This window comes from Homo sapiens, chromosome 3, assembly GCF_000001405.40.
Source record: "Homo sapiens chromosome 3, GRCh38.p14 Primary Assembly".
NCBI lineage: Eukaryota > Metazoa > Chordata > Mammalia > Primates > Hominidae > Homo > Homo sapiens.
In genome coordinates this window covers 10,344,129-10,366,808 of record NC_000003.12, presented here as the reverse complement: position 1 = coordinate 10,366,808, position 22,680 = coordinate 10,344,129, and the positions used below count along the sequence as shown (strand labels likewise).

At 52.9% G+C, this 22,680-nt stretch overlaps 1 protein-coding gene across 17 annotated transcripts in view, besides 1 other annotated feature; it reads left to right on the top strand.

The window, feature by feature from the left end:
- Positions 1-22,680, top strand: part of ATP2B2 (ATPase plasma membrane Ca2+ transporting 2) — a 384,094-nt gene that overhangs the window by 341,308 nt on the left and 20,106 nt on the right. For all 17 annotated transcript variants that reach the window (NM_001438036.1, XM_017006484.3, XM_006713175.5 and 14 more), the window contains 6 exons: positions 6,686-6,927; positions 7,884-8,118; positions 16,232-16,411; positions 16,610-16,697; positions 20,672-20,778; positions 21,234-21,425. In NM_001438036.1, coding sequence (NP_001424965.1) covers positions 6,686-6,927; positions 7,884-8,118; positions 16,232-16,411; positions 16,610-16,697; positions 20,672-20,778; positions 21,234-21,425 — 1,044 coding nt within the window. The remainder of the gene's footprint in view (positions 1-6,685; positions 6,928-7,883; positions 8,119-16,231; positions 16,412-16,609; positions 16,698-20,671; positions 20,779-21,233; positions 21,426-22,680) is intronic.
- Positions 14,260-14,433: a silencer, noted in NCBI's record as "fragment chr3:10394060-10394233 (GRCh37/hg19 assembly coordinates)". NCBI's record gives its function as "represses an EF-1alpha promoter that drives an FKBP-Casp9 reporter gene in an ReSE screen in K562 erythroleukemia cells {active_cell/tissue: K562}" and the evidence as "EXISTENCE:reporter gene assay evidence [ECO:0000049][PMID:32094911]".

Genomic DNA, 22,680 nt, shown 5'->3' with positions numbered 1-22,680 from the left:
TGTACGTCAAGACTTCCACTAGCAGCTCTGGCTGTCCTGCTGCTCCTCCGAGCCACAGCTGAGCTTTCAGATGGAAATAGCTCTTTCCTCGACCTCTGGAGGCACCACGCTTCCTTGGGAAAACATCCCCCTGTTCTGCCCATGTCTGTTCTGTGTACTGGAACCACCCGAGCGGACTTACATTTTCTACTTCACTAGACCTCTTTTAGAGGAGGTTGATACTGCAGTTGACATTTGAACTATTAAACTGAGGATGGGCACTTGCGGAGCTGAACTGTTGGGAGTTTATGGCGTATTTCTGAAACATAAGCTATTGAGAGAAAAACAAATCTCCCTGGAGCCCCCGAAGTGGTTCTGAAGGAAGGATTCCCCCTGCAGGATGGTTTTCCTGAATAGATAAGCCAAGCTTCGCCTGGTGAAGCCCCAGGTCCCCAGTACACCCCATTCTACATGGAGGTGGCCACGAGGCCAATAACCCCAGAAGGGAGGAGGGTTGGCTGTGCTGTATTTCCCATAAATCTTAAAACCTAGCAGATAGTAGGGAGGGCCGAGGAGAAAGGGGAAGGGGGGAAGCAGAGACAGCCCTTGAATTCAGATCTCCTGAGACCAAACCCAGGGCTCGATCTAATATTCGAGTGAGCCTCAAAGTCCCCCTAAGCCAGGCCATACCCTGAGACTGGGCTCCTGCCAAGCCAAGAGGGTCAGAAGGTGTGGAAGATACTGGAAGGGACTTAGCAGGGCACTGAGGTCCGGAGGTGGGCCCTGGGGTATGTGAAACAGCAGGGGCCTGGGTGTCGAATTCAACAAGGGTTTTGCTTTTGGTTTTTTTGGCGAACACCGTCTCTGGAAGAAGAGTTTAAAGGAAATCACTCCAGATGGGGAATTCCAGTTTTGAACAGAGCTGTTAGTCCTTTCACCCTGATATGCACACAGTGACACATACACACACACCACACATACACCACCCATCATGCACATACAACACACACACAGCACATACAACACATACACTATACACAGTACGTACCATACACATACAGCGCACAACACACCTGCCACACAAACGCACACCATGCACCACACACACACCAAACATACCACAGACACACAGACCAAACACATCATATACACACACACACACCACACACATACCAAGTACACTACACATATACACACACCACAGACACACACCCCATGCATCACACACACACACACACACTCTGCACTGGTGAGCTGGGGAAGGCTCCTGGGGTCTACTCTCCCGGAGTGCAGCGCCTCTGCATTCCAGGGGGCTTCTGTCGTCCCGGACACCCGCACCCACCTCCTGCCCTCCCCCACTCTGGGGAAGACCCCAGGGCTCACTGGCCCTGCACAGCCACCTCACTCTCCTCAAAAGCCAGGCCTTTAGAGGATGATTCTGGGAACCAAGTTCTGCCAAAATTTCGTGCCACCTGGGGTCCTGTTGGCAGCACCCCACACACAAACACAAAATTATTCATTGATTCACTGGACAGATGTTCACTGGAGGCCCTATGGCATTGGTGGGGTGGGGATGTGGGCATGAATGAGGCCAACTGCCCTGCCCTGGTGACTCTGAGCCAGTGGTCTCTGCCAGGGAGAGAGGCAGGCTTCTGGGAGAGGTGCTCTGCGGGCTCAGGGCCCAGACCCCCTGCTTCGGCTCCTAGCCAAGTAGACCTTTCCTTGCCATGCAGCCTTGCCTCTCCCGGCCTCAGTTGTGCATGACTCTAAAATGAGAGAAAGAGCAGCCCCTGCCTTGTAGGCAGCTGTGAGCCTATGATAAGGTGATGCACGTGAAGAACTCAGCAGAGTGGTGAGCGCAGAGAAGGCATTTGGGGAAACGGGCATGGCTACAGCTGTTGAGGTTGGGCCTCCAGGCATCAGGGGAGACGTCATTGCTGATGCCTGTCCTTAAAGGATACTGGCTAGGTCACCAGAGACAGCCAATTAGCATAAAGTTGTTTTCTAATGGCCTCTTAGAAAAATCATCACATTGCAGTTACTGCCGTTTACCATGCTATGGGGTTCGTTTGGGAGCTTTTTTATTTTTTTATTTTTATTATTATTATTTTTTTTCCCCAAGATGGAGTCTTGCTCTGACGCCCAGGCTGGAGTGCAGTGGCACAATTTTGGCTCACTGCAACCTCCGCCTCCCGGGTTTGTGTGATTCTCCTGCCTCAGCTTCTCGAGTAACTGGGATTACAGGGGCCTGCCACCACTCCTGGCTAATTTTTGTATTTTTAGTAGAGACGGGGTTTTGACATCTTGGCCAGACTGGTCTCAAACTCCCAACCTCAAGTGATCCTCCCACCTCAGCTTCCCAAAGTGCTGGGATTACAGATGTGAGCCACCACACCTGGCCTGTTTAGGAGCTTTTTAAGTTATTTTTTATTTTAAAAATTTGCATAAAATATATATACCATAAAATTTACAAACTTGACCATTTTCAAGTATATAGTAGTATTAAGTACATTCACATTGTTGTACAACTCATCTCCAGAACTCTTTTCAGGTTGCAAAACTAAAACTCTGTACCCATTAAATGGTAAGTTTCCATTCCCCTCTCCTCCCATGTCTGGCACCCACCATTCTCCTTTCTGTCTGTAAATCTGACTGCTCCAGTAACTCATAAAAGTTGAGTCATACAGTTTCTGTCCTTTTGTGACTGGTTTATTTCACTTAGCATAATGTCCTCAAGATTCCTTCATGTGGTAGCATGTATCAGAATTTCCCTCCTTTTTAAGGTTGAGTAATAGTCCATTGTATGGATAAATGACATTTTGTTTATCCATTCATCTGTTGATGGACACGTTGGTTGTGTCCAACTCTTAGACTTTGTGATTAATGCTGCTTTGAACATGAGTATACAAATATTTCTTTGAGTACCTGTTTTCAATTATTTGGGGCATATTCCCCAGAATCAGACTTTCTGGATCATATAGTAATTTCATGTTTAATTTTTTGAGGAACTACCATACTGTTTTCCATAGTGGCTGTACCATTTTAGATTCCCACCAATAGTGCACAGGAGTTCCTGTTTCTCCACATCCTCACCAACATTATTTTTTGTTTCTTTTTTTTTTAACAGTAGCCATCTTAATGGGTGATATATGCTATGGTTTTTCTTAATCCCATTTTTGCAAATGTTATCCGTAACGTGTAGCTCTTCAAGTCATCATTCATTGATCTTAGCTCCATTCACTTCCCAGCATCCCAAAACAAGAGCACGAATTGTCCTCTCAAAGGTACGACCATGGCTGCACCCAGCATTCCCTAAAGGCCCAACACCATGCCAAGAAATGTGCTGGACCAAGCTGGAACTGGAATCAGGGGCTCTGGGGCAGTCCCAGGCCTGACCCTCTGCAGGTCCCTGACTAGGAGCAAGTGCCTTTTCTCCCCAGGGCCTGTTCTCCGTCCCTCAAAACAGGAACAATACCAATGCCTTAACTCCCTTACAGAGTTGGAGCCCTGGAGATAAAAAGGCTCGTGGAAATTTTACAGCAGGAGCAAAACTTCTGGGTTTGTCAGGATCTCAAAAAGCCAGAAGAGAAAAGGGGAGGGTCCCTGATTCTTAGTAATGCACGTAGGCAATTTCAGAGCTCAAGTTCATGGAAACAAACTGAATTACGGAGGAGGCAGCTCTGCCATTTGCAACCACGGATTGTTTGAAATCCTTTTAGAGGAAAATTAAAATATTTCACAGAGGGTAATAAAATCCTGAGTGTTTTGCAGGCAGGACTGCTCAGCTCTCTTGGGCAAATAAGTAATTAGGCATTTTTATTTAAGTCCTCTGTGTCGTCATTTTCTTTCATTAGTAGAGGGAGAAAAAACTGTTATGGAAAATACATAAAACTCTGGAAATCAACAGAAAGTTAATTATAAAATTGCAAATATATATGTGTGTGTGAGATATATATATATATGTATATGTATATATATGTATAGCACACAATAACAGCATACTGCAGAGAGAAAGGGAAGATCTTAGAACTTATTTTCCCAAACTTCAGACATGGGAAGCTGTGTCAAATATTCCTCTGCTTCTTAGTAAAACCTATCAAAGAGCTTGGGAGTGGGGCATTTTTCAAGGCACAGGATGCCTTAGGTCAGTATGGCCATGGGAGCCGGGGAGGTGCTCTGAGCCTTGCTCCCTATCCACGGCCCCCGTACCATCCACCAAGGGACCTGCAGTTCTTCCTCACTCTACCCTCCCTCACCACATCCACTTTAAGGAGAGGGTTGATATTTCTCTGAGCTAGAAAGCATGTGCTCCAGCCTCTCCATCTTACAGATGGGGAAACTGAGGACCTGGTTTAGGTTCAAAGGCTCTTTTTTTTCCTATGCATCCCCAGGTCTCAGGACCACTGCGTGTCAATGCCTGTATTCCCCCCATGTGAATCGGGTCTGCTCTTTGGGCCCGAGCCCTAGCTGCAGAAGAGGGAAGAATAGGCCAGGGATACATCCAGTTGCTGACAGAGGGTCCTCCCTGTCCCTGCACAGCCAGTCCATGCTGACATCTTCCTGAGTCCACCTTCTTCCTGTCTGGGCTGCTCTTTTGGGTAATATGAGGGAGACTGAGGACGAGGATGCAGAGGGCTCCTTGTGAGAGGTTCATCTGGTACTTCAGGGGGACACAGGCGTGTTCATAGCTATTTCGTCTTCAGAATCTCTCTAGAGTTTGGGTTTATCTCTGTTGTCTTTCAGCACCCCTGAAGCCAGCTCCACCTGAGTCACCTGTCTCAATGTTATTAAGTGGCATGAGTGGGTGTGTGCATTGGGGTTGGGGGGTGCACATGGGAGCCACCTGCAAATCTGCACTTTCACAGCCTCCTGTGAATCCAACATCAGTGCCCATATGGAGGCATCTCGTCCTTACCATTAACCAGTCTCCCCCACCACTCTGGTCTGCATTAAGCCATCTAGCAAACAGTTAATAAGCACCTGCTGTGTGCTGGGCTTTGCACTGACCCTGAGAACCCAGAGAGGAATAGAATTCAGCTTGTTTACACAGGGGAAGAAAGACCCACATGGCAGTTTTCAAAAACAAGGAGATATTTGAGCTGGTCCTTAAAGGACAAGAGGAAGTTTGCCTGGCAGGGAAGGGAGAGGGACCCACCTGGGAGGAGCAGCAGAGGTGAAGGCACAGAGGCATGAAACAGCCCGTGTTCGGGCAGCCATGTGAGGAAGTGACAGGTGCTGGGGAGATGCAGCTGGTGTTCTGGGAGTCTCCAGGACAGGAGCTAATGGTGTTCACACGGCCCTGCGGCGGGCACAGGGCCAGCATGAAGCAGGTGCCAAAGACTGTGTGTCTAATGTGTGAAGGGGAGAAGGAAATAAGGGAGGCACTCAGGGAAGGGATAAGTCTTTGCAGCATATTCATATCATGGCATCTATAGAGCAGTTAAAAAGGAACACACTAGAGCCATAAACATGAATGAATCTCAGAAACAGTGTTACAACCGGGCGCAGTTACAGCCGGGCATGGTGGCTTACACCTGTAATCCCAGCACTGTGGGAGGCCAAGGCAGGTGGATTACTTGAGGTCAGGAGTCTCATTAGGTTAAACTGCATGAACTTGCCCATATTTGACCATTTTTGACATTCAAAAATAGCAGTTTCCATTGGTTCAACCTAATTGAACTCATGAGGGACAGTCTGTCTGTCCCATGAAATACCACTCAGCAATCAAAAGGAACAGATTATCAGCACGTACAGCAGCTTGCTTGGATCTCAGGGGGATTCTGCTGAGCAAAGAAGCCAAGCTCCGAAAGTTACAGACTGTATGATTCCATTTATATAACAGGCTGGAAATGATGAAAGCTTGGAAACGGGGAACAGATTAGTGGTTGCCATGGCCAGGGAGTCGGGGGAAGAGAGAGGTGACCATAGCTTTAAAAAAAGGGTAGTACAAGGACCCTTGTGATGAACTGTCCTGAATCTTGACAGTGGTGGTGGCCACATTAACTCACATGTGGTGCCATTGCATAGAAAATACACACGCACACCCACACACAAGCTCATGTAAAGCCGGTGAACTCTCCACAAGTTCGGCTTCCTTGCGTCAGCATCTCCATCTCAGTTGTGGTACTTGTGTTAATACTATGGTGATGACATTGGGGGAAACTGGATGAAGGGTATACGGCATCTCTGTATTGTTTCTTATTGCATGTGAATTACAATTATCTCGGAATTAACAGTTAAATACACACATGGTAATGATTAATGCTAAATTTAAGACAGAAGTTGTTTCTGGGACAAGGAGTGAATTATGCAGATGGGGAGAGGTTTGCGGAGGGGATTCAACTTTATCTGTAATGTTTTACTTCTTAAAATAGAAAAATCTGAGGCAAGTACGGCATAATGTTAAGATGCTACAAAGCTGGATGATAGGCACGTAACTTTGTTACATCATTCTCTTTTTCATGTTTGAAATAATTCATAATTTTTTTAAAAGCTAATCTTGCTTCACTCCTTTCACCCGGAGTCAGGACTGGACCTGGGATGCAGAGCCCTGAGGGTGCAGGGGATGGGCCAAGGGCTCCCTGAGGGCTCAGCCCCCAGCCCAGAGACCACCTAAGTGGCAGTCCCAGAGCCTCAGTGGCAGCCAGGGCAGAGGCTCCCGACACAGGCCCCACCAGGTGCCAGCCGCTCCTTCCTCTCTCTGCAGCCCCCAGAGAAGGAGGGCGCCCTGCCTCGGCAGGTGGGCAACAAGACGGAGTGCGGCCTGCTGGGCTTCGTGCTGGACCTGAAGCAGGACTACGAGCCCGTGCGCAGCCAGATGCCAGAGGAGAAGTTGTACAAAGTGTACACCTTCAACTCCGTGCGCAAGTCCATGAGCACTGTCATCAAGCTGCCCGACGAGAGCTTCCGCATGTACAGCAAGGGGGCTTCTGAGATCGTGCTCAAGAAGTAAGCGCTGGGCAGGGCACCGGGGCTGAGGGCTGTGCCCTGGTGCAGGGAGCTGGGGATGTCAGGGTCATATAGCACTGGCCGCCATCCAGGCCAGGCTCAGCAGCCTGCCCGGCTGGAGTGGCCGTCTAGCACCCAGAGCCACAGAGGGCCCTGCCCAAGGTCACCCAGCAAGACTCATCTTCACTTGCATGCCCCTTGGCCACTGTGTTTTCCACTATATCCTCTTAAACATTTCTATAGCCAGAGTCCTCCCCCTTCTCCTCCCTAAGCCGCTGGTTCATCAGGAAGTTCTACTCATTGTCACACTTAGATCTCTCTTATTTCATTTCCTTTAGCGTAGAGTTGGTTGATGGTAGCTATTTTCATTATTAGCCACACTCCTCTGACTCCAGAGGAGTGCTGGAAATAAGCCTGGTGAACTAAGCAAATCCCTTCCCCTCTCTGGCCTCAGTTTCCCCACTTGTACATTGAGGCAATTAGTCTAGCCCCCAGTGGTTCTCAGCCCTGGGTACACATTGGAATCACTCTGAGGAGTGTTTAAAAAAACATTGATTCCTGGATTCACCCCAGACAAATTGAACTGGAACCTCTGGGGCAAGGCTCGCACGTGGGTATTTATTAAAGGCTCCTCCAAGCAATTCTAATGTGCAGGCAGGGTCAAGAACTACTAGCCTGAGTTTTATGTGCTTTGTAAACCATTTCAGCTGTGGGAGTGTTATTTCAGATGAATCTTGTGAGTATATAATACATCAAAGTGGGGCTCCGCTTGCTGAGTGGCCTGGGCAAAAATTGCAGGACGAATGCTTGATTTCACCCTGCCTGGGGGATGAACTAGATGGGCACTGGATGACCAGCCACAGCTAGCTGGGCATCACGAGGGTGGGGAGGTGGTCTCTAAGCCTTTCAGAAGGAGCATTCCCTGGGCTCCCCATCTCCCTTCCATCCTCCCCTAGGTGCTGCAAAATCCTCAATGGGGCGGGAGAGCCTCGTGTCTTCCGGCCCCGCGACCGGGACGAGATGGTAAAGAAGGTGATTGAGCCCATGGCTTGCGATGGGCTCCGCACTATCTGCGTGGCCTACCGCGACTTCCCCAGCAGCCCGGAGCCGGACTGGGACAATGAGAATGACATCCTCAACGAACTCACCTGCATCTGCGTGGTGGGCATCGAGGACCCGGTGCGGCCAGAGGTAGGCCCCAGGGCCAGCGAGCTCAGGGAAAGGGGATGAGGCTGGGAGGCCAGCCACCAGGGTGACCTGGAGTAAGTCACTTCACCTCTTTGAGTCTCAGTTTCCACATAATGCCCATGGGGATTTCCTTCCTTGATCCTCATAAGAGGATTGCCCATGAGAAACAGTGTAGACCACATGTGGCATGGGTCGGCCCAGAAGGACACAGAACCCACAGGTTGCCAGCAGGTATTGCTCTGCCATGGGGGCAGTCCTCGAGCTGTCCAGCCAGCCACCATGAGCTCTTCCCTCTGGTCCCCCAAGGGACAGGTGTAGGGGCTGCCCTGCCTTAGAAACCTCTTGCCCTGCAGGAGCCAGGATCTCCTGTAACAAATCCACAAACATGGATTCCAGGGTCCCTACAAAGGACACACCCAATAGCAAGGGCATTGCACTCAGGAGAACCCGAAGTGTGGTGTCCCTGTCAGTATTTATAGTTCTCCCAGTGCAGATGCAGTTTACCAGCCAGTTTACCCCAGCAAGCTGGCCTAGGAACACAGCTGAGAGTCTACTTTTATCAGATTCCCAGGGGAACAGAGCTAGAAAGTTAAGGTCACATTCTCCAGCAGAAGGGAAGGGGGCTGACAGCACCCACTTCACAAGGATCAAGGGAGGCGATGCCTATCAGTACACCTAGTGGGGTGCTCAGCACACAGTAGGTCTTCATTCTCCTTTAGCTGAATCTGCACCTGAAGGGGGAAGACCAAGAACTCAGTGCTGGAGCTGCCGGGGTCAGGGGAGGATGGGATGTGTGTGGTCTGTGGTGCTTCCCAGGCTGAAGAAAGGCTGTGGGGAACAGAGGAAGCTGTCCTGAATCTCCAAAACGGTGCATGGCAGGCGGAGTGAGTCAGCTCACACTGTGAGGCCCCAGGGGAGCACCATGGGCATGAGGCAGCGTGCAGGAGGGGCTGGCTTCCACTTCCTCCCAGGACTCACTCAGCTGCTAGGTCCAGACCGGATGCCCTGGCCAGGCCCTGGCTGGGTCCAGATTGGCCTTGGCTGTAAGATTTGGTGCTGATGCTTTGAGGGCCCACCTCCTCCACTCCTTAATGGACCTACCCTGACACTGTTCTCTGGGGGTCTCTGGCCATTTGCTACTCCTCTCTGAGCCTCAGTTTCCCTCTCTTTAAGGTAAAAGGGATAGACAAGATGACCTCCAAGTTCCTGGCCCTGATGTTATAAGATTCTGCATTCCAAAGAAAAATGAAACTAGGAGGTCACAGGCATTTCACATTTTAGGCAGCAGGGAGAGGGTTCAAAGTGTGAGCTCAGACATCAGACAGATCTGTGATCCTGAGTGCCGGCACAGCTGGCTGTGTGACGTTGAACCAGTTACATAACCTCTCTGAGCCTCATCTGCATACTGGGGATAATAATAGTATCACACACACCCCCTCTGGGATATCATGAAGGCTCAGATCATGCATCTACGAGCAACAAGCAGAGTATCTGGTACAAGATAGGCGGCCTACATACGTGGGTCCCCTTCCTTCATGCCCTCTTCAGTAGATTTCATTACCCTAGATCCAGGGACACGTAACAGCCCTAGACATACAGCCTAGCCTGCCAAAGGTGTTCAATGAGTGTTTGCGGAATGAATGAATAAGAATGAATGGGACTGGAACCCCAATCTTCCACACCATGCCTAGTGCTCCTCTCTCTCTCTCTCTCTCTCTCTCTCTCTCTCATACACACACACCCTCCTTGGGGGTGTCATTGTGGCTTCCTCACTCCTATCAAGATCCTAAAACAGCAAAGACAATTAATGCCCCTGGAGCTTGGCAGTGGAGCCCACACGTGCTTTCCTGCAAACCTCTCTCTCCATGGACAGACAGGCCGTTTATCAGCCTCCCTGTGGGACACCTGCTCATTACCAGCCACTAATGGGTTCAGGCCTCACTGTGATGTGTTATCTCGTTACTGAAAACTCTTCATCCTTGCACAGCACTTGAGGCTGGCCTGCCTACACCCTGTGGCTCCCCTGTCCTTCCCAACCCCACAGCCTCCCCCTTCCCGGGCCCTCCCAGAGCTCCTGGCTCACCACCCTGCCTTGGAAACATCCCTTAGGTGAATGGAAGACACAGGCAGGCCCAAACTGTTATTTGACCATGACGCACAATAAGAAATGTATTTTATGTCATGACTCAGTAAACACACACATTTCACCAAAGCAAGAATTTCACAAAATAATGGGATGCACTTACCTATTTTCTGTTCTTCTATTTCTTTGTTTCTTTTTTAAAATGTTGGTCACCACCCACTAAACAAATTTCACGTCACTAACAGGGCATGACTTGAGGTTTGAGTGACTGATCTAGTCCAAACACCTTCCCGCACAAACCCCAATTTCCAGAAGAAAACACCGAAGCCCAAAGGGGGACAGTGATGTGCCCAAAGTGGCTGAGTGAACCCAGATTAGAACAGGTTTTCTGCCTCCCTGCCTCAGGGCCTTTGCCTGGTTGCCACACACACACACACACACACACACACACACACGCACACACGCACAAAGGAAAGGACAAGTAGTTCTTTTTTTTTTTTTTTTTTTTTTTTTTTTTTTTTTTTTTTTTTTTTTTTGAGACGGAGTCTCGCTCTGTCGCCCAGGCTGGAGTGCAGTGGCGCGATCTCGGCTCACTGCAAGCTCCGCCTCCCGGGTTCACGCCATTCCCCTGCCTCAGCCTCCCGAGTAGCTGGGACTACAGGCGCCCGCTACCACGCCCGGCTAATTTTTTGTATTTTTTTAGTAGAGACGGGGTTTCACCGTGTTAGCCAGGATGGTCTCGATCTCCTGACCTCGTGATCCGCCCGCCTCGGCCTCCCAAAGTGCTGGGATTACAGGCGTGAGCCACCGCGCCCGGCCGGAAAGGACAAGTAGTTCTAAGTCAAGAGGATGAGCAGACGAGGACAAGGATGAGAGCTCCCCATGCCCAGGGCCTGAGGGGGCAGAGCTGGGTTCCTGGCATTTTCTGTTGACAGCATGGTCATCCAGAGAAGTTAGCTGCAGGCACAGACTCTGGGAAAGGGGGGCCTGGAGCCAACCCCCAACCCCGACTTTGCCGCTAACGAGCCACTTCCCTCTCTGAGCCTCAGTGTTCTCAGCTATGAAATGGGAGGTCAGCCCAGGTGCCCCTTGGGTCCCTCCCAAGCTCTGACGTCCCCAGAGAGAGCGATAGTTGACTGGAAGACTTACCCTCCCATCTTCCCTCACTTCCTTCAGTCAGGGCATCCACATGGGCCACGCTCTCTCCTGTTGGCTCACCCCTGGGATGTCTATATAGGAGTCATAAACTGTCTCACAGCAGCAACTTACTCAAGTGACACAGCAGACTCAAGGGACATGGGTTCTAATTCTGCCCCTGCCACTCCCTCACAGATGGCCTCAGTTTCCCCACTTGAAAACTGAGAGAATCAGACTGTCCAGCATTCACAGTGAGGGACACAGCAGGGTTACAGGTGACACCACGTGCAAGCATAAGAGCTCAGACGTGTTGATTCAGCACCTCCGAGTGGGGCGGGATGGATGCAGGACCCAAGGAGACGGGTGGGTATGGCTTTGTTTATTTGTTTGTTTTTTAGGTAGGTCATTCCTGCCCCCTCTAGCCCCCTGGTTCCCACCTCAGAGGTAACCACTATCCCCAGATTTTAGGGGCGACCTTCAGGGAACGTGTGTGCTTATGGTGGCCGTGTTTTTGTCAAGCACCCCAGAGCTCTGTCCTCCTGGACTCGTCCCTTTATGCAGAATTATTTGTCACCCTCTGTAAATCTCACAGGTGAACTCCCTTCCTGGTGCCTCCAGCCTAGGAGGCTCAGCCAGAGGGAAAACCTCAGCCCGGGCCATCTCTAGGGTCCTGCAGACACATTAAGATTCATTTTGCAACTGCAAGAAAACAATCTTTACCTCCCTCGGTTTCCCTGGCTGTCAAGGGGTTGAATCTCCACATTGCCTTCCTCCCACGAGAAGCCCAAAGGGTAGAACAGATCAAGACACCCTTGCCAGAGCACCCCACTGCCAGCCCTTACAGTGGGTACATTTTCCAAGGCTGATTGAAGTCAGTGCTGATAAAGCCATCAGGAGAGCAGCGGTCTGGGATTTGCCGGGTTATCCGGGGGTGTTTGAAGCCCTCGGAGTCACAGACAACGGCTGTCACCAGAAACAACAGATGTTTAAAAGCCTTTATTTAATGAAAACAGGAAGCACCCATTTCCTGGCTGCTTTCCCTCAGTGAGAAATATCTAGGATAATTTTAGCGAGAGAAGTCATTTTTTCCCAAACTTATTTATTTATTTTTAATTTCACAGTAATTTTATCGATGTGGGAAGCATATTTCAACTGGATCGATGCCTCTGGGGTTTGAGTCGTAATCATCTCCGGATCCTCAGTGTCCAGAGCAGTTAGATGCGCCAGAGCTGTTTGTCCAATAAGTAAATGAGTGAGCAACAAAATTAAGTCCTGAGAGCAGCTTAAGAAAACATCCTGTTGGGGTGCAGGAATCAGGAATGGCTTCAGGAATAGAGAGCATTTCATTTATAAGATGGGAAAGACTTGACACACAGAGGCTAAGGGAGGAAGGGCATTCCAGGCAGAGGGGACAGAATGAGCAGGGCAAGAAGGCAGGAAGGGATGCAGAGTGGCTGGGGCCTCGTGAATGCCCTGTTGCATTTATGAGAGAAAAGGGAATTGGAAAAGGTGTGCACGTGCCCATCCTGTGCGTGGGCTCTGTGTGCCCTGTCATAGAGTTCCTCCCAGCCTTGCTGAAGGGTGGATACTATTGTACCCATTTTACAGATGAGGAAACCAGGGCTCATGTGAGACCCTAGAGCAGAGCCCAGCCCAGCCCGTTGGTCCCCAAGCCCTCTCTCCACTGCACAGAAGAAAGTATAGGGTCCGTAAAAATTAGCTTCATTTTTCTCATGAAGCCAGCTTGCTTGGAGAGGCCCAGAAGATGGCTGATTTTGGCTCTGGGAGACAGTCTTGAAAGTGAGAGTATTTCTAAAACGCAGCACCAATCACCTCATTCCTGGCTCAGAACTTCCCACAGTTCCCAGTGCCTGAAGGAGCATATCCCTGGTCCAGAACCTTCTGCCCCTCTCCAAATTCATGGTCTCCAGTCCCTACCCCACATCTTCCCTCAGCCCCTCCAGATCACCTGCAGCGTGGCCCTCAGGCCCGTTCATACCTCAGGCCTTCTCTGCCAGTGCAGAGTGGACAGTTCCCTGCGGCCAGGACTAATCTGTGTTCATCTGTGTAGCCTCAGCCCTGGCACAATGCCAGGAACCAGAGCCTCAGTTGGCAGCTCAAACATCCCCTCCCCCAGGAAGTCCTCCTTGATTTCTCCTCCCCACCCACTTTCTTCTAAAGCAACAGTGCCCTCTGTGCTCCTTCAGTAGCACAAAGGGCACTGAAGCAGCACAAAACCCCCTTATACTCAGCAGCACAAAACCCCCTTCTGTGTTCCCAGAGTCTTTTGTATAGACCTGTGCCAAAGACCCTGCCTCCAAACAGAGTACAGGTCTGACACAGGGTGATGCTCTGCTATCTGAAAAAAGAAAGGTTGTGTTAAAAAATCAGCTAGACTTGTTCCACAGTGGAGCAGTGGGCATTAGAGGGAGGGAGCACCCTGTCATCGGGTGTGCAAGCAGAGGCTGACCAGCCCATCTGTTGAGGACACCTGGGAACGGATCTAGGGAATGGGCAGAGGGTCAAAGTCAATGACCCAAAACCCTTTCCAACTCCAAGTCCTCCAGCGTCTTTGAAACCAAGAACCTAAATTCCTCCTTTTGGAGGCAGGAGCCAGATAAGGTGTGCGTTCCCAGGAAACAGCAGCTCTTTGCTGTTCTCAGGGGCAGGAGACAGCAGGGGGCCACAGCCCAGTTTACAGCCATCATGAGGATGTTAGTAAGTTATATAAACAAGATCTTGGACATTCCACATTCCCACTCCCTCCAGCCCTGTAAGAATGAGGTCACGTTTGCTTATGTGATTAGCCGCTGTGGCACGAGGCAGGGGCCTTGCTCACGTGGCCCCCAAACCCCGAGTGGGCACTGGAAGGCTTCTCCCCAGGCCCTGGAAGTAAGCCCCAGAGGAGGCTGGTGGTCAGCTGGCCCTGCTCTAACCCTTCAACAACGGGGAGATCACTACCTGCCACCACAGAGCCGGTCTCTTAGACAACTCCAGTAGCTAGAGAGGCCTCCTTACTGGGACCCTGCCCCTCTAGAGCATCCGTTCCTCACGCCACAAGACAGCCACGCTCAGAACTGCGGGTTTCCTCTTGAAGGCATCAGGGTGGAACCCCTGAAAGAGAGCAGCCCCACAGGCTGACACTCAGGCAGGTCACTGGTGGCCAGGGTAAGGAAAGAGGGGCCAGGCAGTGCCCTCTGCACAGGGTACACAGGGAGGGTAGTGCCCTCCCCATGGCCCCTGCCCTCCTGCCCAGAGGCAGGCTGGGCAATGACCCAGCTTGAGACGATGGTGGTGGGGGCTGAAGGAGTGGCAGGTGCTGTGAATGGGGTGGATACAGGCGAGATAGTCAAGGCCGATTCCTTGTTTTTACCATTGCTGAAGGCAGAAAGGAGACCCCAGGCAGGAGCTGTCCCAGTCAGGCTTGGCCCCACCTTCTAACTCTTTGTACTAGTTTTCTAGGGCTGCCGTATCAAAGTCACACAAACTGAGTGGCTCAAGAGCAGTTTGCTGTCTCACAGTCCTGAAGGCTGTACATCTGTTTGAGACCAAGGTGTCAGCAGGGCTGGCTCTTTCCAGTGACGATAGGGAGGAGCTGTCTCTGCCTCTCTCTCAGCTTCCAGTGGCTTGCTGGCCACCTTTGGCCTCCTTGGAGTGTAGAAGCAGCACCCCGATTTCTGCATGGCATCTCCTTTGCATATCTTTGTGTCGAAATTTCCTCTTTATAAGGACACCATTCCTGTTGGATTAGGGCTTACCGTGATGCGCTCATTTTAGCTGGATTTACCACTATAATGACCCTATCTCTAAGCAAGGTCACATACACAGGTACTGGGGCTTAGGGCTCCAGTCTGTCTTTTGGGGGGAATACAACTCAATCCATAGTCTTCCAACTCCCTCAGCAGTGGCTTGGCAGGTGGATGCTGGAGTGCGCTCCTGGTCACTGTGGGGTGTGCAGGGAGGGAACGTCAGACTGAGCCCTTCCAGGCTGGAGATTCTAACAGGCTGTGGTCCTCCCAAACAACTGGATTTCCTGCCCTTGACATGTTCTCTCCCACTGAAAGACGTTCTGCAGCAAATATTATTTTATTATTTGTCACTGCCCTCGGGTAAGAATCACTCGTTCCATTGATTTCTGTTGTGTATAAAGGGGTGCCCCAGCTCCAGGCTGGTTTCCTCGGGGAAACCCTCAGCTCTGCTCAGGGCCAGCTGCTGGGGTAGGGTGGGGCGGGGCTGGGAAGCCTTGTGCCTTCTGATTGGCTGGCTCTGATCCGGCCTGATTGTCCCAGATATCCGTCTGTCATTACAGTCAGAGAGGACAGAACCTATCCTTATTATTGCAGAGAAATGGCGTATTTTACCTGAAGCATAATCCTTTATACATATTCTAAATCCGTGTCACATTCTGTAAGTAAAATGCCCCCAAATGCAAATGTCCCCCCAAGAAACTGAAAATACACAAATAGATCTGTCAAGTTTGCAGGAACTATGTATGTGGATGAGGCAAAGAGAAGTTCACCTGGCCAAGCTTACCTGGGGCCAGATCTGAGGAGGCGTTCATGGAAGTCTTTCCAAAGTCTTCGCCCAGGTCGAGACAGCCAATGGTTCTGTCTCAGGATGGACCGTCATGGTCAATAGGTGGTAGCGACCTGGGACTCTGTGATGAGAACCACATCAGGGTTTAATCAAAGGATGTGTGATTGATTAACAATGCCTGCCGTTGGCACAGGAAGGGAGGCTGTGGCCCATATGCCATGTGCGTCATCAGCATCTCATAGTCATCTAGTCCCCTTTCAGTAGAGCTGCCTGTGAGAAGGGCTCCTCTGGAATCCATGAAGGCAGGGGGAGTCTGCCTGAGGTGGTGCCCTCCCCCATGGCCCCTGCCCTCCTGCCCAGGTCCCAGAAGCCATCCGCAAGTGCCAGCGGGCAGGCATCACGGTCCGCATGGTCACTGGCGACAATATCAACACGGCTCGGGCCATCGCCATCAAGTGTGGCATCATCCATCCTGGGGAGGACTTTCTGTGCCTCGAGGGCAAGGAGTTCAACAGGAGGATCCGCAACGAGAAGGGGGAGGTGCGTGTCCCAACGTAAAGCATCCTCAGGGGAACGCGCTCAGATGGGAGCTGGGAGGTAGGGTGCTGCATGATTGTACAGAAGCCAGCCAGTGTGCTGCTAAGAGCCCAGTGACTCTGGGCATGTCCCCTCCCTTCTCCAGGCCTCAGTTTCTCTCCCCGACCCCACCGACCCGCCCCCTTCCCCATCCCTCTCCAGATTGAGCAGGAGCGAATTGACAAGATCTGGCCAAAGCTGCGGGTGCTGGCTCGCTCCTCCCCAACGGACAAGCATACCCTGGTTAAAGGTAAGACTTGGGCGGGCACGGGCAATCCTGAAGCCCAGCACCAGGCCAGAAGCTGGGCCCTCCTCTCCTGGCACTTGCAGCTTCTTCCCAGAAGGGAAGGGCCCCTCGCCCCTGACTCTCCACACCTGGGCACAGCCTTATGTCACCCCCTTTTCAGCCCCAGGAGCCTGCAAGGGGCCAGAAGGAGATGGGGCTAAGTCTTCTCTGTGGGCCTCCAACTCCCCTAGGAAGCAATGGACCTGGGCCTGTGTGGGGTCCCAAACTCCTGGCTCAGCGCTGAATGGGGCCCACAGACGTGTTCTATGTGGCCGGTACAGCGCCTTTTTAAATGATGGATTTGAAAGACTACGCAGACCCTGCTCTCTCACCTTTGACATAGTCCTTACTGCTGCTTGTTGTCTGATACTCAGCCTACTTCACTCGTTCTCAGTCTGGTCTCAGAGCTTTAAGTCTCTTGGTCTGTCTGGTCCCTGAGGCCCCCAACCAACGTTTGTGACCAGGACCTCAGGGATGCGCTCTCCTGGGAATAGCCACCTGAGGGATGAGACCAAAAGCCAAAGTCTTGCTCCTCCCTCCAGAGGGAGGGCACACCACTTGCTGAGCCTAGGTGGCCAGGTCCTGGGCACTTTTTATTTTTATTTTTATTTTATTTTATTTGAGACAGGGTCTCCCTCTGTCACCCAAGCTAGAGTGCAGTGGTGTGATCATAGCTCACTGCAACCTCAAACACCTAGGCTCAAGCCATCCTCCTGCCTCAGCCTCCCAAGTAGCTAGGACTACAGGCATGTGTCAACGTGCCTGGATAATTTTTTTTAATTCTTTATAGAGACAGGGTCTCACTATATTGCCCAGGCTGGTTGCAAACTCCTGGCCTCAAGCAGTCCTCCTGCCTTGGCATCCCAAAGTGCTGGGATTACAGGTAGGAGCCACTGTGCCCAGCCAACTGGGTATTTTTAGAGTCACGTGGTCCTGGCTTTGCCACTGACCTGCTCTGTGGCCTTGGGCAAATCCCACTCTGGGACTCAGTTTCCTCATTTGTAAAATGGCTATGGGAGCAGGGCTCCACTGGAGATCAGCCCTAGAACATCTTGGATTCCTCTTTCAAAGGTGCTGCCCAAGGACATTAATGGAAGCAGATCTGGCCTGGGGAGAGAAACCCAGAACCCCAGAACCACAAGGGAGCAGAAGGCGCCCAGCCCATCCTTATTCTTATTCATTCACTCATTCTCTCCATAACTGTTTACTGAGGTCCTGCCAGGTGCCAGCCCTGCTCAGGACAGGCCTGGTCCTGCCCACGTGGAATTCATGGGCCAGGCTGCACGCAGCAGGCATTGAATAAGTGGTCCCTGCATAGAGCAAAAGGCTGCACTGCTGGCATGGGGTGCTCTGGACCCAACACTGCCTCTAACTTGGACTAGGGAGGCTTTAGGTCACAGGCCATGGAAGGTGGGATGGGCTCCAGGGTTGGTAGGGCCTGTGCTTGAGGCAAGGCAGGGAACTGCTCTGCAAAGGGCTAGAGGCAGAAGATCCCCAGATGCCTTCAAGGATCTGGGCCAGGACCTCGGGGTGGGAGAGGGAAGCTACAGGAGACTGGAGCAGGTGGGAGGGCAGCAGATCCTGCAGGGCCGCCAATGCCCACCACGAGCACCCCGTCATGGCCTGCACCGTGTCACCAGGCACAGGAACATGGGAGGGTTTAGAGGGTAGAAGCATCATTTTAGAAAACTTACCCTGCAGTGCAGAGCACGGCCTGGCAGTGGAGGGACCTGTAGGATTGTCCTGCTTAAGAGTTGTCACCTGCCCACAGTGGTGACACCTCAAGTGGAGCTGCCAGGTGCGGGTCTGAGAAAGTTTGGGTAGTGGAGGGGTCTGGGCTGGGTGGTGGTTTGCATGTCATGGAGGGATGAGGAGCAGGAGGGTCTGGGATCCCATCAGTCTATACCTGTTGGAGAAGAGCATTGGACATCGAGCGAGGAGGGAGAGCAGGCCTGAGACAGAGTCCTGGGTGGCACATGTGGGTGGGGAGAGAGGAGCTGCAGAAGCCAAGAGCTGCCCGAGTGATGGTGCAGGCTGAGAACCTACAGAGGAGGCCAAGGGGAGGAGGCTAGAGGGGCAGGAGGATGGTCAGTGGGGAGTGGTGCCGGGAAGACAAGGAAGGAGGCCTGTGGAGGAGGAAGGTGTGGTCCATGGTGGAAATAGTTGCTGAGAGGTCTGCGGGGACAGAACAGAAATGTGACCATAGGAAGCAGCCACAGGGAGGCCCCTGGTGACTGCACACAGTCAGGCCACCCCAGGACTGGAGGCAGGGAGGCGTCTAGGGAGAGGTTTCCTCCCAGCTTTCCGCACAGCTTGAGCTACGCAACGGTCCGCACCACCTGGGAGCCACAGGGCAGAAATTTGACCCGTCCCTGCCTTGGAGGAGCCCCCAGGCTGACTGAGGGAACTATGGAAACTCAGGCCTAATGTCCCAAGGGGACAAGCTTGGGGAGGCTGAGTCCAGGACGGTGGAACTGAGGGGTCACCGACAGCTGGGTGGGAGCAGCCCAGAACGATTCCCAGAACACACGGCACTGCAGCTGGGCCTGAAAGAGGGTAGAGCTGCAAGGGAGCAGGTTGGGGGCACAGTGCCCCAGGTTATGGAACTCAGCGCCTCATTCCACAGGCTGCTGCCGTCTGCTAGGCACAGAGCAGAGAGATGCGCAAGGATGGAGCAGCACATAGAGTTACATGGATCTGATTAAGGGCAGGCAGGGATCCTCAGAGGGTCAGAAAGGCTTCCTGGGAAAAGCAGCCTCTGAGCCAAAAATACAGTACAGGTGGGTGACAGGAGTACCTCCAGCCAAGGGAACAGCCTGCCCAGACACAGGGCCAGTGAGAGCTAGCTCTGTGGGACCGTAAGCACAGATTGGGGGTGGCCAGGGGATGAGAGAAGAGAAGAGGTCAGGATGTGAGTGAGGCCTGGTCACAGAGGACTTCATAAGTGGAGCTAAGAACATGGATGTTATCCTGAGACCAAGGGGGGAAGCAGGAAAACGACATTCCGGGGATGGCTGGGGGACGGAACTGGTTCAGACATGGGTGTTAGAGAGATCCTGAGGTTGCTGTGGGGAAGCAAGTTGGAGGGGGAGTCCAGAGTCAGTGAGAGGAAACAAAGTGATGCTGGTGGCAGAGGGTGGAGACAGAGAAAAGGAAGGGTTTCAGTGGGATTTTGGAGCCAGAATTGGCAGGCCTTGGTGATACATTCAATGTGCAGAATGAGAGACCCATGGATGCTGATACCCAAATTCCTGTCGTGCCCATGGACATCCCTGCTCGCAAGCCCCATGAATGAGGAGTCCCACAAACTCCACAGGTCCCCACCGATGACATCCTTCACCCACCCTTTTCCACTGGCCCCAGCTCAGTGACTGGGGCCACATGTCATTTGTTCATTCTGTTATTCGTTGAATGTTTTATTGAAGATGAATGTCTGGAGGGAGGTCAGGGCCAGAATGGTGGGGCAGAGGTCACTGGCAAATGACAAAGCCAAGGCCTCCTCAGCAAGCCTGGACTCCCCAGGGAGAAAGTGCTGGCTAGTGGTGTCGGGAGGAACAGATGGTGAGGTCCTGCTGAAACCCTGGGAGCCCTGCTGAGGCAGAGGGGGCCCTGAGCACAGTTAGAGGATACAGTGTTTCTGGTTAGGATGGATGCCAATGTGGCCACAGGTTGCAGACAGCAAAGAGGGGGCTGGAGAGGTGAGCAGGGCCCGGGCCACAGGGGGCCCCAAGTCGGCACCAGCCCAGTAAGGAGCCCACTGTAACCTGCTGGCAGCTATAGGCCAGCCTGGAGCTGGGAAGAGCCTGGATGGAGGGGGCGGCTGGACAGGGACCAGAGAGGAAGCCATGCCCAGCCAGGCCCCTCCCGAGGACCAGGGCTGGCCCAGGCTGCCTCCCACCTGAGTGGCCCAGGGCCTGAGCACACTCCTGCCCCAACAGGCATCATCGACAGCACACACACTGAGCAGCGGCAGGTGGTGGCCGTGACGGGGGACGGGACCAACGACGGGCCTGCACTCAAGAAGGCCGACGTGGGCTTCGCCATGGTAGGAACGGCCCACAGAGGGCCTGGGGTGGTGGGGGCTGGGGAGATTGGACTACACAACCTTGGGCTGGCTACTCAGGAGCCCCAGTTCACACTTGGCCCACCCGCCATCTGCCGTGGGTGCCCACCCTTCTCGAGACTCAGCCTGACCCCGAGGTCTTCCTGGAAAGGCATAGGATGCTTCTTGCTCTGGGGGAGCTGTGTGAAGGGGGGCACTTGCAGGCTGAGGAGGAAGATAACAGAGGGGGAGAGGGGGCCAGGGTGAGGCTTCCTGAGGGTGAAGGGAGCTGGGTCTGTGAGGAGCGTGAAGAGTGGGGTGTCCCTGTGTGGTCTGGCTGTGCTGGGCCCACTGGGAGTTGTGTAGGACTGAGGAAGTGGAGGGAGTGAGGATGGTGATGCTAGAAGTGGTCACCTCCCCCGGCCACCCCACCCAGCCTCCTGTCCCTGTCCCCACAGGGCATCGCAGGCACTGACGTGGCCAAGGAGGCCTCAGACATCATCCTGACAGACGACAATTTCAGCAGCATCGTCAAGGCAGTGATGTGGGGCCGCAACGTCTATGACAGCATCTCCAAATTCTTGCAGTTCCAGCTCACCGTCAACGTGGTGGCCGTGATTGTGGCCTTCACAGGCGCCTGCATCACGCAGGTGGGTCCGCAGGAGACCACACCAAAGCCTGGGGGAGGGCGGAGACCCCCCACAGAGGCTCGGGGGCCTTAGGGTACTCCAGGTTGTCCCTGTCAGAACAGCCGGGGATGAGGCACCCATCGATGGAGCACCTGCTGGGGGCCAGGAACTGCATCACAGAGCTCAGGTGCAGGCACTGGCCCCAGGGGAGTCGAGGACATGAGGCTCAGAGAGGTGGCGTGACTTGTTCAAGGTCACCCAGCAAATGGGAGCTGTCAGGCTCACAGCCTGGCCCTCACTGCAGGAGGCAGGAGAGGGAATCCTCAAGAGAAGGCAGGGCCCTTGGCCACCACGAGGGCAGAGGGAGGCAGGGAGGGGCAGGCCAGGGCCCAAGGGGGATCAGGCATCCAGGTGAGGACAAAGAGCCAGTGGGGGCCCTGGGGCCCTGGCTCTGGACTGGAGTGTGGAGTGCCTTAGGAGGTGCTAGGTGGGGATAACTGGAGGGAGTCGGGGATCTTGCTCACTGGGAAGGTCACAGAGGAGTCTGGCCAGATACCACGACTGGGTCTGGAGCAGCCCTATGCACTGAGCCTGGCAGGCAGGCCCCAGATGTCTGCAGACTGACTGCTTCTTCATGCAGCTCCATGAGGTGGGAACTGTGATGATCCTCATTTTACAGAGGCAGAAACTGAGGCTCAGAGGATGGACTGGCCAGGGACCTGCCATTGTTCTTGCAGTCTCCTGATACTCCCCACAGGGGCTGACCAGCCTGGCCAGGGAGGCAAGAATGGGTCTCCCTTAGCCCCAGGGGATCCCCAAGGCCCAACACTCCCAGTAGCCACCTGGGCAGACAAGCCCATGCCCACAGGAGCCCCCAGAGGCCCAGAGTGCAGCACTGCCCCAAGAGCTGTGTGGCGCTGGAACACTGCTCCCCTCTGTTGCTTCCTGCGCTGGGGGAATATAGGTGGCAGCTCCGGCTACCCCAGCCCTGAGAATCGGAGCCTTGGGAGGGTGGCTGGGGGCTTCCTTTTGCTCAGAAGGGCCCTCTTTCCTGGCCTGTGGATGAGACACTCCCTCTAGTGGCAGCTTGAGGAACACTCCTGCGGCCCCAGCAACTTGGAAACCAGAAGGTCTTGATGCCAGATAGGGAAACTGAGATTCTGAGACCACTATCAGTTTGCCTGAGGTCTTTGATTGAGTTGGTGGCGAGGCCATGCAGCATTGATAAGAAGACGGGCACACTTGACCCTGAGGTATATGGAATTAGAGAAAGCCC